The 15,040-nt window shown below is 34.5% G+C and overlaps 1 annotated feature.

Moving 5' to 3' along the window:
- Nucleotides 10,505-11,037: an enhancer, noted in NCBI's record as "OCT4-NANOG hESC enhancer chr9:83236200-83236732 (GRCh37/hg19 assembly coordinates)". NCBI's record gives its function as "activates a minimal SCP1, AML or CMV promoter by ChIP-STARR-seq in naive H9 embryonic stem cells {active_cell/tissue: H9 hESC(naive)}" and the evidence as "EXISTENCE:reporter gene assay evidence [ECO:0000049][PMID:30033119]".

Raw genomic sequence — 15,040 nt, 5'->3', positions numbered from 1 at the left:
ACTAGAATCCTTTTGTTTCTAGTTTCTCTGGAAGCATGAAGAGTTTCACTGAAATATGCAGATTAGTCATTTAATGATTTCAAGTGCTCTGCTGAAGTTGCTTAAAAACCAAAATCCTCTCTACCAGGAAGAACAGATTCCAAGAGAATTGTTAAAATACACTTGAGGGTAAAATAGCAAGATATTTTAGGATTTATGATTAATATAACAATAATAATAAAAAGTAAAATATAAAAACCAGAAACATTATTTGAAGGAGCTTCTTAAACACTTTCTCAAAAGCAGCTCTCTCTCTCTCTCTTTGTGTGTGTTTACGGCAGGAATTGTGCATGATTTTTGTGTTGGTTAGAGTAATATATTTAAATTGGAAGAGTATTTTTCCATTAATGTTATAAAATAACTCAAATGCTAGAATGTGATGAATGTAGCCATTTAGTATAATAAATAAATGAAGAAGAAAATGACATATTGTACTAGGCTCATTCTTAAATCTGAAAGTCTCTACCATTCTAACACACTGGCTTATGAGTTAAGTGTTCTTTTTTATCTATAGAGCTGTTAATGACCCCTTCCGTTAATTATGATTTTGAGTAGTGATACTAACAGTGATAGGTGAGCACTCATATTTCCAGTCCCATTTGACCTCAGTGTTTCTGCCTTATGAACTATAGTGATGCAGGCAGCATAAAGAGGATGATCCAGATAACAACAACAAAAATGAAAACCTCAGTGTTTCTGCCTTATGAACTATAGTGATGTGGGCAGCATAAAGAGGATGATCCAGATAACAACAACAACAACAAAAAGCAATATGTCACTCATGGACAGCCAAGATTTGACTTGGCTATTTGCTTTGGCCACATCTCTGAAGCCCACAGACCACAGTCTTCTCATCTACAAAATGCAGATATTAAACATAGACGTAGGCAAATGCCTTCTAAAAGTTAACAGTCACATTTACATAAGAAGCAATGTTAAGATATTGGGTAGGAAGGCTATGAATATCGATTAATTTTTCCCCAGGTAAAGATTTTTTTGGAGAATAAATATGTTTGGTCAAATTAGCTACACATGCTCTTTCAGTGGTTTTTACATGTTTGGTTAAAGAATCACTGGATAAAGGTATTGTAACCGCCCAATGGGTTTACCTTACCCGCTGCCTAGACAGGGGAATTGAAAAAAAGGAAGAGCAATTCACGCAGAGCTGGTTGTGCAGGAGACCACAGTTCTATTATTACTCAAATCAGTCTCCCCAAGTTTTGGGGATGAGTCATTTTTTTGTTGTTGTTGTTGTTTTTTGTTTGTTTGTTTGTTTTGACAGAGTCTTGCTCTGTCACCCAGGCTGGAGTGCAATGGCGCGATCTCGGCTCACTGCAACCTCCATCTCCCAGGTTCAAGTGATTTTCCTGCTTCAGCCTCCTGACTAGCTGGGATTACAGGTACGCGCAACCACACCCAGCTAATTTTTATTTTTAATAGAGACAGGGTTTCACCATGTTGGCCAGCCTGATCTCGAACTCCTGATCTCAGGTGATCTGCCTGCCTCAGCTTCCCAAAGTGCTAGGATTACAAGTATGAGCCACCGCGCCCGGCCGGGGAGCAGAATTTTTAAGAACAACTTGGTGGGTTGTGGGGTAAGCCAGTGAGCCAGGAGTGCTGATTGGTCAGGGATGAAATCATAGGAGTCAAAGTTGTCTTCTTGCACTGAGTCAGTTCCCGGGTGGGGGCCACAAGATAAGATGAGCCAGTTAATCTATCTAGGTGTGCCAGCTGATCCATCAAGTGCAGGGTCTGCAAAGTATCTCAAGCACTGATCTTAGGAGCAGTTTACAAAGGGTCAGAACCTTGTAGCCTTCAGCTGCATGGCTCCTAAACCATAAGTTTTAATCTTGTGGCTAATGTCAGTCCCTACAAACACAATCTAGTCCCCAGACAAGAAGGAGGTCTGCTTTGGAAAAGAGCTGTTATCATCTTTGTTTTAAACTATAAACTAAGTTTATCCCAAAGTTAGTTTAGTCTAAGCCCAAGAATGAACAAGAACAGCTTGGAGGTTAGATGCAAGATGGAGTCGATTAAGTTAGATCTCTTTCACTGTCTCAGTCATAATTTTGCAAAGGTGATTTCAGCACTAGTCTTGTCAAACATTGAGAAATCACACATGTAAGTACACAGATCCATCGTTGTTTATTCCTGCACTCTGTAGTGAACCAATTTTCCTGGAAAGTTGCATTCTTTGTTCTAAATCGTAATTACTATGACTAAATGTCATAGTAATTACATTATTTTGTCTTAAATAGCAATAACTTTGTCCTAACAATAATTCCCAAGTAGTAATAGTACTTAGTTTCTTGGAATTTAAAAAACCCAGTTTCTTTCCATTTTAACATTTTGCTCTTTATTCGTAAAAATGTTTTACTATTTTACATGTTATTAAACCATGTTTTGGGATTATTTCAATATGCAGGTAGTTTCCAATATTTAACAAATTTTATTTCAAAAGTTTGTTGGCCAGGCGCGGTGGCTCATGCCTGTAATCCCAGCACTTTGGGAGGCTGAGGTGGGCGGATCACAAGGTCAGGAGTTCCAGACCAGCTTGACCAACATGGTGAAACCCCCTCTCTACTAAAAATACAAAAATTAGCTGGGCGTGGTGGCACGCACATGTAATCCCAGCTACTCAGGAGGCTGAGGCAAGAGAATGGCTTGAACCTGGGAAGCAGAGGTTGCAGTGAGCCGAGATTGCCCCACTGCACTCCAGCCTGGGCGACAGGGCAAGACTCCATCTCACAAAAAGAAAAAAAGTTTGTTTATAAGCTGCCTTTGAAACCTGGGATAAATTTTCCATTAAATTATGGTCTACATTAATACAGGAAAAAGTTAACACTCCTATACAAACATAAAAATTCTTCATGAAATATTATATTAAAAAACAACAAAGTAACCCAGTCATCTCAAAATTGACATCTATGAATTCCAGAAAAGTTAAGAGTGATGTTAAAACTAGAGCAGTGAGGGGAAGCTGAAGTAGAACCATTCCCAGGGAAAAGAAACAGAGTTAGGCCTTCATAATGAGGGACATGAAGGAGAATCAAACTCCATCTGCAGAAGACGGGAAGCTAGACGCCAGGCTCCAAAGAAGAGCCAAGGTTCATACATGACTGTCCACAGTGATGTCATAAGACATTTATCAACCAGTTTATAAAGAAGACTAGGACTTTCCTTAAGGGTTCAGAAGTGAATAACCTTCTTCCTTACTGAATATAAAACAGAAACCAAGAGGCAGCATGGGATCACAGGAGGAGAAATCTGCCAAGAAAGGAGCCAAAACCAAGAAAGCAGACGCAAAGAATAAAGAGTCCCGCTCACATTTCTGAGCCACCACATCAGGCCAGAGGATACTGGATTCTCCTCTCCTACTCTTCCTTCTGGTGATGCCAAGTTTTGAGAACTGACTTAAAAATACTGCTTAGATCAGAGTGAATTATTATAATCCACTTATGCCAGAGCTATTCATGTTGTATGATTTTTTTCCCTTTTATGCTGATCTTCACTTGCTTTTGCCTACCTACCATAAGCTTCCACGTTAAAAATCTTTGCCACATGTATATCTCTGCAAGCAGCCTTCTAAAATAACATTAAGTTTTACATGCATATGTGTTCTTAATTTACATTAATGGTATTTTGCTGTAAATTTTATTACAGTGCCCTGAAAGTCTATTTATGACACTGTCTATAGATCTGTTGGTTTAAGCTGCTGAAGAAAGTTCCATAGGATGCATCCACTGCATTGAGCTTCTTCACCCTTTGGAAGCAAATGTGTAGTTTGCCTCCTCCTTGCTTCTAACTGCATGCTGTTTACGGAAACACTGAGTTGGAGGCAAAATACTATTGCTACTGTGGTAAACAACTTAGGATATGATCTCTGTTGGAACTTTGCAAATATATTTCTGTGATATATGCCCAAGAGTAGATTCTTTTTTTTTTTTTTTAAGACGGAGTTTCCCTCCTGTTGCCCAGGCTGGAGTGCAGTGGCGCGATCTCGGCTCGCTGCAACCTCTGCCTCCCGGGTTCAACTGATTCTCCTGCCTCAGCCTCCCAAGTAGCTAAGATTACAGGCGCCCACCACCACACCTGGCTAATTTGAGTAGATTCTTTAGTTCAGAAAACATATATACCATGCAATTAGCTGAATACTGCCACTTGCTTTTCTGAATGGCCAATTTATGCTTTCACCAAAAGTTAGTAAATGTTCTCTTCTTCCTACATCCTGGCCAATATTTTGTATTACCTCCCTACACAGTCTTGTCATTCTTATGTATATAAATTATCACATTATTTTATCGGTTTACATTTTTCTAGTTATTGGGTTCAATCTTCTATACTCCTTTTTCTTCATTTACAGAAGTTTTTTGTATAAACAATTTTTATTTGTTAATTATAGACATTACAAATATCATCTCTCACTCTGTTACCTAGCTGTTAATTTTGTCTATCTGTCCTTTGAGGAATAAACGTTATTAATTTTGCTTAAGTCAAATATGTCAATGCTTTCATTAATGATAGGCAGTTTGTGGGTCTTGCTTAGGACATTTTCTCATTCTCAATTTATAAAGATCTTCTTCAACATCTACATATTAGCATTTTTATTTTGTCTTTCACATTGGGTCATTAATCTCCCATGAGTACATCTTTGAATATAGCATTGATTAGGGAGCCAGTTTTATATTTAGTAAGTCAATTGCTCTAACACCATTACTAAACTCCCTTCTCCATTGCTTTCTGTTGCCTGCTTTATCATGTATAAAATTCCTTTATACACATAGGTCTGCAGCTGATGTATATGTTATTATCTATTGGTCTATTTGTTTCTATACTAGTTCCATACTCCTGTTGTTGCATTTTTGTAGTGTGCTTTAACATCTGGTGGAATTAGTTACCCTCTTTCAATTTTCTTTACCAACATAGATTTAGCTACTGTGATACATTCTTCTATCTGAATTTTAGAATTTACTTGTTGAATGCCCTAAATACCTCAACTGCAGTTTGATTTGCATAACATTGAGTTTGTAGATTAATTTGGAAGGCGTAACATCCTTGCACTTTAAGTTTTTTCATCTCTGCATATGCTACATCTGCCTAATTATTCAAATAATATTTTATATAATAAGCTAGAGATTAAATTTTTTCTTTATCAAATCTTGAATAATCTTTATTAGTTTCGTTACTTAATACCTTATAATACCTTCTTTTTTTGGCCCTTACCCTTCTCCAGCCTGTTCCCATGCCACCTCGTGTGTATACTTTCATAGTGACATTCAGTGTTACTCTCTCTGTGGTCTCTCATGAATTCTGCATTAGTTCTTCAGACTCCAGTACTTTCATTTTTATTCCATAGCATCTCTGGAGTTAGAATGTGGGAAATGACCTAGAACCTGTGTTGTTTTGCCCAGAGGGCCCCATTGGTTTTTCTACAGTGGTTTGAGCTGGACGTTTTGTTACTTGCAACTGAATCTCCTAATTGATATGACATATCAGTATGGGGCACACATACCGTGTTGATCATGGGCATCATTTTATAATTATCATACAGTCTCTTTCACACCTTCTGATTCTTTTCAGTCTCAGGTACCTTCCCAGTCATTTAGTACCCAGGGTTATCATAAGCCTTCTTTCTACCTGCCCTATCAAATAAAATTGTTCAATATCAAAAAGGACTGGCTCTTCCCTCTATCACCAAATAATGCTTTCTTCTTCCTTATTGTTTTCAGTTATCTGATTCTAAAAATTAAAATTAGATCAACTGATTGCTTATACCATGGGGATTTGCATCCTAATCGGGACAGTTTCAACCCAATCAATTCATAATTGGTGAAAACTTTCAGAGTGTAACAAAGAAAAACAATTCATCAAGTACAGTGGAGAATGTTTCTGGGCTATATCCTTACCAGGTAAGCAAACAGTTCTGCCTGTGAGGCTGTTCCATAGGTGGTCAACTGTTCAGAAGTATTTTCCCCTTTTCTGTAGCTTCTTTTCTATGTTAATTTTGAGAACCTTCTGAGTACATGAGATTTATAAAAAGCTCTGCATATTTTGTTTGTGTGTTTCTTTTCCTACACATTCACTCTCATGATATTGCAATGTGCATCTTTAGCATTCTGAGAAAGAGGTCTATTCATCAAGTCTGTTGAGCACAGATCAATCTTTAGAGCTAAACTATGTGGTACACAAATTGTTAAACCTAGACCTCCAAAGTCTAGACATTAACCCAGCAAACTTCCAAATTCTAATTAGCTTTCTCTTTAACCTCATTTTACTTTCCCTTTCCATTTTCATTGTGCAAAATTTCAAGCTGTTAATAGGATAAAATTGCTTCCACCTTTGTTTGCGAGATATGTCATTTCAAAATTTAATATCTGAAAAATGTCCAAAGGGGAATTTCATCAGATATACTCCACTCATTAGTAGAAAGGTTATTGAGGTTCTCTATAGAGTATATGTAGAATATAAGAATCATTCTTTTTGTTTCTTTCTTGTTTTATTATTGGCTCCTAATCTATTCATATTTACAAAGGTAGAAAGTTACGGATCATGCCAACAGAAGTCCACCAGCATTTTAATATGACAGTTGTTCAATTAAACATTTTAAAATTTGTCTTAAGTTAAAGTCTCTAATGAATTAGAACTGTGTTCCTGAATTGCTTAGTGTGATTTTAATAAATCAGAGGAAAATAATGGGGAGATTGATGAATGTACTAATCAACTTTTTCAGTAATTAAAAAGTACTTGGAGATATAAAATACAATCATTGTTGCAATTTATGGCGTTTATATTTCTAAAACATGACATGGTTATTTGTTTTGTGATTATCAAGTATCAGGTTATACTGGAAACCTACTTATTAGTAAAAATATTATTCCAGATTTGGGGTATTTTCATTAGCTATACCCAAATAATGTAAAGAAAAGTATTTCTTAATGTTAGTTGTAAATAGTTATTCTTATTAATCTACTTACTTTCTTAGTAATACGAAATTTAATATTATTAATATACTTATTATTCTACTTTTGATATTATCAGCTCAAGGAAATTGTAGAAAATGCTTTAGTAAGTGCCATAGGCACAGAAAAGACTCTATTGTTTAGGTGGTGGTTTCATAGTTTAAAGGAAAAAATTAATTTGGTTTTGTTGTTTTTACTTTTGCTTGCTTTTCTCAAAAATCTCTCCTTAACTGGTAAGCTCAAAATGTCAGATCTGTAATCCCAGGAAGAGCTTTACCATGTGTGTATACTGCCTGGATCACATAGTTCAATGAACTTTATTATCTGCCTCAGTGCAATCTCTTCTCTAGCCAGTTACTGATGCCGTAATCACAACCTTGAAATGTGTGGCTAAATAAAGAATTTCTTTGTCAGAAATGTGTAACTTCTCATTCACTTTTCTCAAGGGACTCTTAATGGTAAAACTATGGAAAAATGAACAATCTTTATTCTCTTTACTTGAAAACAATAAAACGTAACCCATGATTTCAAGATTTCTTTCCAATACCTCATTACGCTGGCTCCCATGTTATATGAAGCCCTCTGTGAAGACTAGGTTTCCAGAGGAAACTTGTTTCTTTGAGGTCTCAGTCAAAACCTTTCCTCGAGCTTTATTTTGATCCAAGAAGGGCTACAGAGACGGCCCATCTCTTCCTTGAGATTATTTGATAAATAATTTTCCCATATATTTCCCCATGCATAACAATTAATAACAATACAAAATTAATCCAGTCATTTCCTCTACATGTCTCATATGCAGGTCCTATTTTGGGTTGGCATGTGGGATAGATTGGGCATGTTGCAATACTGAAACATTTACATACAAAAAGCCAAACTATTTACCTAGGAAGGGTTTCTTATTTTTCTTTTCTCAAAGGCTGGGACACACTAGATAAAGCATTATTTCTGTCCACAATAAGCCATAAAATTAAAAGAGATAAATGGATTTTCCAGGTTTAATAAGACTTAATTCAAGTTTACTGAAATTGAATCATATTCTCTCCATATTCAGATAGTTTAAAGCCATTCTATAAGGTTTTTCATATTTTCTCTTTTAAAAGGTCTGTCTTCAAAAGTTTTACACTCCAGATTTAAAAACTTTAGTCATTTGGTTTTGGCCAATTTATGAGAGGAATAATAAAATATTTTTCTTCATGTTCAGCCATGCTTTCTTTGGTCAATGCCATTTTAGTTTTCCTGGTTTATTTCCTATGAATTTCTAGGTCATGATTCTTCACTACTTAATTGGGAAAAAATTACCTAAACATTCCTTTTTCAAATTAGGCTTTTGGTAAAGAGTACTGCTGAAAGGTCAAGGCAGATGAATCAATCAATAAATAATCAATAATACAATCAATAGATACATATTCCTAATAATTAAAAAGAAGGTCTAACTTTAAAACTAAGATCTAACTTTAAAACAGGAATAAAATGTAATGACTAGTTTGTACCTCCGCTTTATAGACTACTTGATATTTTCCGTAAAAATGGAATTCAAGACTTCAGAAATGAAAGCGAACAATTCATTAAGTATTTGATAGGTTTCATTCTAGCTTACAGTTCAGTTCTTTTTAAAATATTAAATTTGGAATAGCTCACACAAAATGAAATTTTTAGGAAGGCATCTAACCTGATTTTCCTTTCCAATATTTCCACAGTTTTACGGTTATTAGATGGCTTTCTCCTCTTTGTTCTTTGTCTTAGCTAGATTGCATTGCAAGTTGTCACTCTTCTGAAATAGCTGGTTATATGAGCATGTTACTAATCAAGTGACATTGACTACCACTAAGTAAAGTTTATCCATTTTACTTTCTAAAAAAGTATTGTAGATTATCTGTGGAATTGGCTAACAAGCATCATTCAGGTAGAATTTTAAAAAATAAGTGGACCTTCAACTTTTCTCTTACCAATTTTTGAGTTTACAGTGTAACTCCATTTTTTCTTTCCACTACTGAAAAAGGCAGTATGGAATTCTACTTATAGGTGGAATCGTGAATGCTAATTTTTCATTTGAAACCACAGCACTTTCATTTCACCGTCTTTCAGAAATCCCACTATTATACACCAAGAGCAATTCAGCCCCAAATGGGAAAATATATAAGAATTATTTCTTTTTAAAAACGTTATTTTTTTCCTCATTTTAGACTTCTGCATTGGGAAGCAACTTATAATTTACATATATATATATGATACCAGAGTATTTCTCTTAGTTTATTCTCACAAAATGTTTCTACATTAATGGTGCCTTAGAAGTGAGGAAATAAAATATTTTTATCATTTACTAAGTCCTCACTATGTAATATAATTACTGTAAGAACAGTCTGAGGTGGGGTATGTTTATTTCTATTTACAGATAAGAAAATTAAGGCTCAAAAGGCCTAGGTAACTTTCTCAAGATCATAGTGCAGAACATGTAGAGAGAGCTGAGATTAAAGCTCAAATTTATTTTATTCTTAAGTCCAGGTTTATAACTACAATACTTTACTAACTTCTAAAGGCTATGTGGATATCTTAGTGGACATCAGAATGGTGTCACAGAAAGTGAGAACTGGAAGAAATGTTAAGATTACGTCATTCTAGACAAAAGAAATGGAAGTCAATAAGGGCTATGTCCTTAGTGTCATATTCTTAGTGACAGAGGTCAAATATCCTCCCATTCAAGTGTATATTAAAGATTGATTATTCATAATTTTATTTTAAAACCTTTTGGCATTACTTCTACAGTATAGTAAATTCTTATGACCCCCACACATATATTGTTTTCTTACTGCTTTATTCTTAGAATACTCAATTTGAAAATAAGCTTTTTTTCACCAAAGAAGTTACTAATTCTCTGACAGATGATTTCAAGCATGGTTGTTTTAAACATTTCAGAAAAAAGTTGAAAGCCTGGTCTGTAACTCTTGATGGTTTGGTTCCTATTCATCATTTATTATCAATTGCTGCCTAAATAGTAGGCAAGAGAGATAACTGCTTCAATAGATGCAATAATTTGGATTTCTCAGAAGTATACTGATTTTCAATAATTTATGTAAGTTTAACTTTTGTTAGAATGCAAAAGCTTGTGAGAAACCATTGCTTCTTCTATAACAACAAGGGAAAATGTAGACTGTGTGTGTGTGTGCGTATAAAATATTACATATATTAAAAAGTCCATATTATCTAATGCATATTATATACACTTCTATATACTATATATATATTAAAAAGTCTTTTTAAGAGATTTTATTTTTAGAGCAGTTTCAGGTTCCCAGAAAAGTTGAGCAGAAAATATGGAAATATCACATGCTTCCACACATCTACAGCCTCCCCTATTATCAATATCCTCCACCAGCAGCATATATTTGTTACAATTGATGGGCCTACATTGACATATCATTATCACCCAAAGTTCATAGTTTACACAAGGCTTAGCTCTTGCTGTTGTAGATTGTATGGGTTTGGGCAAATGTATAGTGACATGTACCCACCATTAGAATATTGTATTAGTCTGTTCTCACATTGCTATATGGAAATACCCAAGACTGGGTAATTTATAAAGAAAAGAGGTTTAATTGACTCAGTTTCACGTGGCTGGGGAGGCCTCAGGAAACTTATGATCATGGCAGAAGACACCTCTTCCCAGGGCAGCAGGAGAGAGAATGAGTGCCAGCAGAGGAAATGCCAGATGCTTATAAAACCATCAGATCTTGTGAGAACTCACTCACTATCATGAGAATAGCATGAGAGAAACAATCCCCATGATTCAATTACCTCCCACTGGGTCTTTACCATCACACTTGGGGCTAATGGGCATTACAATTCAAGATGAGATTTGGGTGGGGACACAACCAAACCCTATCAAGTATCATACAGAGTAGATTCACTGTCTTAAAAATCCTCTGAGCTCTGTCTTTTCATCCCTTCTTTTCACCAGAGATCCATTTACTGTCTTCACTGTTTTGCCTTTTCCAGAATATCATATAGTTGGAATCATACAATATGTAGCCTTTTCAACTTGACTTCTTTCATTTAACAATATGCATTTAAGTTTCCTCATATATTATTTTTAAAAGATATTCAAGAGTTGCAGGTCAAAAAATAATAATAATAAAAAAACTAAATGAAGTCAGTTCTATAGAAGAATGAGATCTTCTTGATTAAATGCAGGATGTTGGCCCTTTCTTCTCTAGGGTCATTAGCTGTATCTGGGCATATGAGTAGAAGGTCACTCCTACCATATAGGTAGAGGAAATCTGCTGGGGTAAAGAGAAACTAGTGAAATTTTTAATAACCATGTAGGTGCCATGATTGACTGAAATCTGGCAGATTTGTTCTTCCTACATACCAGGCCTCACTTATGAAACATTTACCAAGAGTATGGCAAAAGAAGGCTAAATTGGAAAGAGAAAATGATCTTCATAATCTTCTTGCATATGATCCCAAATTTCTGCTAGAATGACTTGCCTATAATGCACATAGCACAGATACATATAATATTCTCAAAACCTTTGATACCAGACATAAATTAAAACAAACTGACACTGCTATCCATTGCTGACATAGAACATCTTTTGAATGAATTAATATATATTCAGCTCCTCATGCTAGCTGCTAGAAATATAAAAGGGTATATTCTCTGAGGGAAAATAATATCCATTTTAGTCTTTGTTTTTTTTTTAATATAAAATATCTGACATACACCTGCAATTTAAAAGGCAAGGGAAGAAGCAAGAAAATATAACCCTAAATCAAGAGCAAAAATAAGACACAAAAGCAGAAATGTAGTTGCCTCAGAGTTTACAATTTGTTGATAAAGAGTTTAAAATGATTATCAAACATATGTTAAAAATAGAGGCAAGGATGAACAAAATATCTGAAAAATTAATAATTGTAACAAATAAGTAGAAACCCTAAAAAGAAAATCAAATAGATATTATATAACTGAAAAGTGTCTGAAATTAAGAACTTTTTGGATGGGTTTAAACAGTAGATTGGCATAGCAGAATAAAGAATCAGTGAATTTGAATTCTCATCAATATAAGTTATAAAAACTGAAGCAGAGAGATAAAAAATAACACAGCATCAAATAATTTTCCCTGCGTGTATACAGTTTGTAGTATCAGTAGAACTCATATTTTTTCTTTCAAAAATAATGGTTTCATATATCCGACAGTATGAGAGAGGAGAAGAACAGTTTTGTTTTTCTTTTTTCCTCAATGAGTGATATGTAGCATTGATTTTTTTTCTTCCAAATATAAATTCCTTGGGTATACTCATTTAACTAATATTTATGAAATCTACTGTGTGCCAGGTTCTGAAGATATATAAACCTATAACTACTATATTCTAGGGTCTGGATATAGGGTAGTGAACAAATAGTTAAACTTCCCAAAGTAAATACATTTTACTTCCAGGGGAATGTGACAGAAAATAATGTGTGTGTGTGTTTGTGTGTGTGTGGTGTGTGTGTGTGTGTGTGTGTGTGTGTGTGTGTCAGAGAGAGAGAGAGGAAGAGAGACTATGTTCTACAAAAAAAGCAGTAAACAGAGAAAGTTGAACAGGGAATGGAGGACTGAATAATATTTTAGATAGGATGGTCTGGAAATGCCTCTCTGGTAAGTTGACATTTGAGTAGATAACAAGAAGAAAATGAGGTGACATTCCATGAAGATAACGTGGAAAGCATTTGCAGCAAAAGAGGTGATAAGTGCTAAGGCAGTGAACCAGAGGTAAGCATGCTGTGTTTAAAGAACAGCAAGGAACTTAATCTGTCTCCAATGGAGAGATCAAGCAAGATTATAGTAAAAGAAAAGGCAAGAAAATTAGTGGGAACCAGATCTAAAACGGGAGTTAGACCATGATAAGACCTTGGCCGTCACCCTAAGGGAGGTGGGAGGCCCCCTATATGACATATTTTAAAAGAATCCTTCTGCTCCTATGTAATAAAGTAGGATGGAAGGTGTAGAAACAAGAAGAACAAGTAGGGAGCAATGGTATGGTCAAGAGATAATGGTGGCTAGGCTAGGATGGTAGTCACAGAGGTGAAAAGATGTTATCAGAATTTAGATATAATTTTTAGATAGAGTTAATAGCACTAGGATAGATTGGATGTGGAATAAAAGAGAAAAAGAGAAATTGATACATGAGTAACTTAAATTTAGGCTGTTTAAAATGTTAATGGTAAATCATGTCTATCTTGTTTGCGAATTGGCAGTGGTTACCTAGAAATGTTGAAAAGATTATTTTGAGTCAAAAATTTTGTAAAGTGTTGAAACAATTAGTAATATTGAACATGTGTGGAGAAGAAGGAAATACCGGGATATAAGCCATGTATTTGTAATCCTTACTTGAAACTAAATAGACTGAAATTTGTTTTTATTCACTGATCCATCTGATTTTTCTGCCCTCTTTTGTTCTAAGGTTATCAGTGTCCCTCTTTTGCTTTAATTTATCTACAAAATTTTCAAATATTCAGTTTGTTACCTCTTTCAGAGAGTCTTTATTAGTCTACTGAGATAAAATTTACATAAACTAAAATGCACAGAACTTAAGCATACGATTTGATGGATTTTCTTGAATACATAAACACATACACACCCATGTAAGCCCACTTAAGATAAAGAAAGTTTTGAAGGAAGACTTCAGAAAGTTTTCTCACACCTTTTCAGTTAGTCCCAACTCCCTACCCAGAATCATTATTCTGACTTTTATTACTGTCCATCGGCTTTTCCAGATCTCAAAATCTGTGGTCTGGCTTCTTTCATCCAGGATGTTTTCAAAATATATTCATATTGTTTTGTGTATCAGTTGCTTTTTCAAAATTAATGCTGAGAATTATTTCATCATAAAAATATATTCCTATATGCTTATCCATCCTCTTGCGGATTGGTATTTTGGTTGTTTCCGATTTGAGAATATCAAAAATAAAGCAGCAATATACATTCTTATACAAATTACAGTCTTCATTTTAATTTACATTAATGGATGATATCTTCATAGGGAACAGGAGACAAAAAATAGGACCCATACAAATGATGTTATAAAATCTCACATTAAAGCTAGAATTCTCGAAAGGTGACATCCCCTTCGTGCCCATTAAAATACAACTTATTTTTTTAAAAAAGAGAAATAGTGAAAAAAAAAGTCCCTGAGTGATATTCTTTTAAATAAGAAAAAGAAAAATTTTCTCTTGAATGTTTGAACTACAAACTAGTACTCACACAGGTATGGAGTTATGACTGATGCTGTCTAGGTGTTCTGAAAATTTCCAGACTCAAAGTGTTCAGAATTTCTTGTTTATCCAGGCACCTAAAAGAAGAAAAAACAAATAGTCAATGGAAAAGTGGTGTTTAAGTTCAACTCTTAAAGTTTACCATAAAGTTCCAAGGAACACATCCTCCATTTCCCCCATGCACACACACACACACACACACACACACACACATTCATGAAGACATGAATGAAGAAACAAGATGCTATGAATGAGAGTTGACAGAAGCACCAAACTGAAAAATTCAACTCACAATTTTGAAGATACTGGAATTATCAGTCAGAGATAATTAAAATGTTTGTTGAATACAATTAAAGCAAAAAAAGAGGATATTAAATACATGTCTTAGAAACAAGAGAAAAATGACTAGAAAATTTAGAAAAAGATCCAAATATAATATCTTAAAATGAAAAATATAATAATTAAAATTCAGATGTCAATATAGGTTTAATAGGTGATCAGACACACTTTTGAAAAGAAAAACTTAAGAACAGTAAATTAGAAAAAAAGAGATGGCTTACAATGGAGCAGATAAGCATAAAGAAGTAGAAAATTTGAGACTTGGGCAATGCAATGAAGCATTCTACTACACAGATTCGCCGATGGAGACAATGGAGAGTACACGAAGATGCAATACGCAAACAACCCACATTTCACAATTACAAGTTGGCTTACTTTTTCTTCCTCATACATTTTTTAAATTGAGATACTATTTACATTACTTAACATTTATGTTTTAAAAGTATGCTGT

The sequence above is a fragment of the Homo sapiens genome, chromosome 9, assembly GCF_000001405.40.
Source record: "Homo sapiens chromosome 9, GRCh38.p14 Primary Assembly".
Classification (NCBI taxonomy): Eukaryota; Metazoa; Chordata; class Mammalia; order Primates; family Hominidae; genus Homo; species Homo sapiens.
Note: the sequence above shows the minus strand (reverse complement) of the source record. Positions and strands in the feature narration are given on the sequence as shown.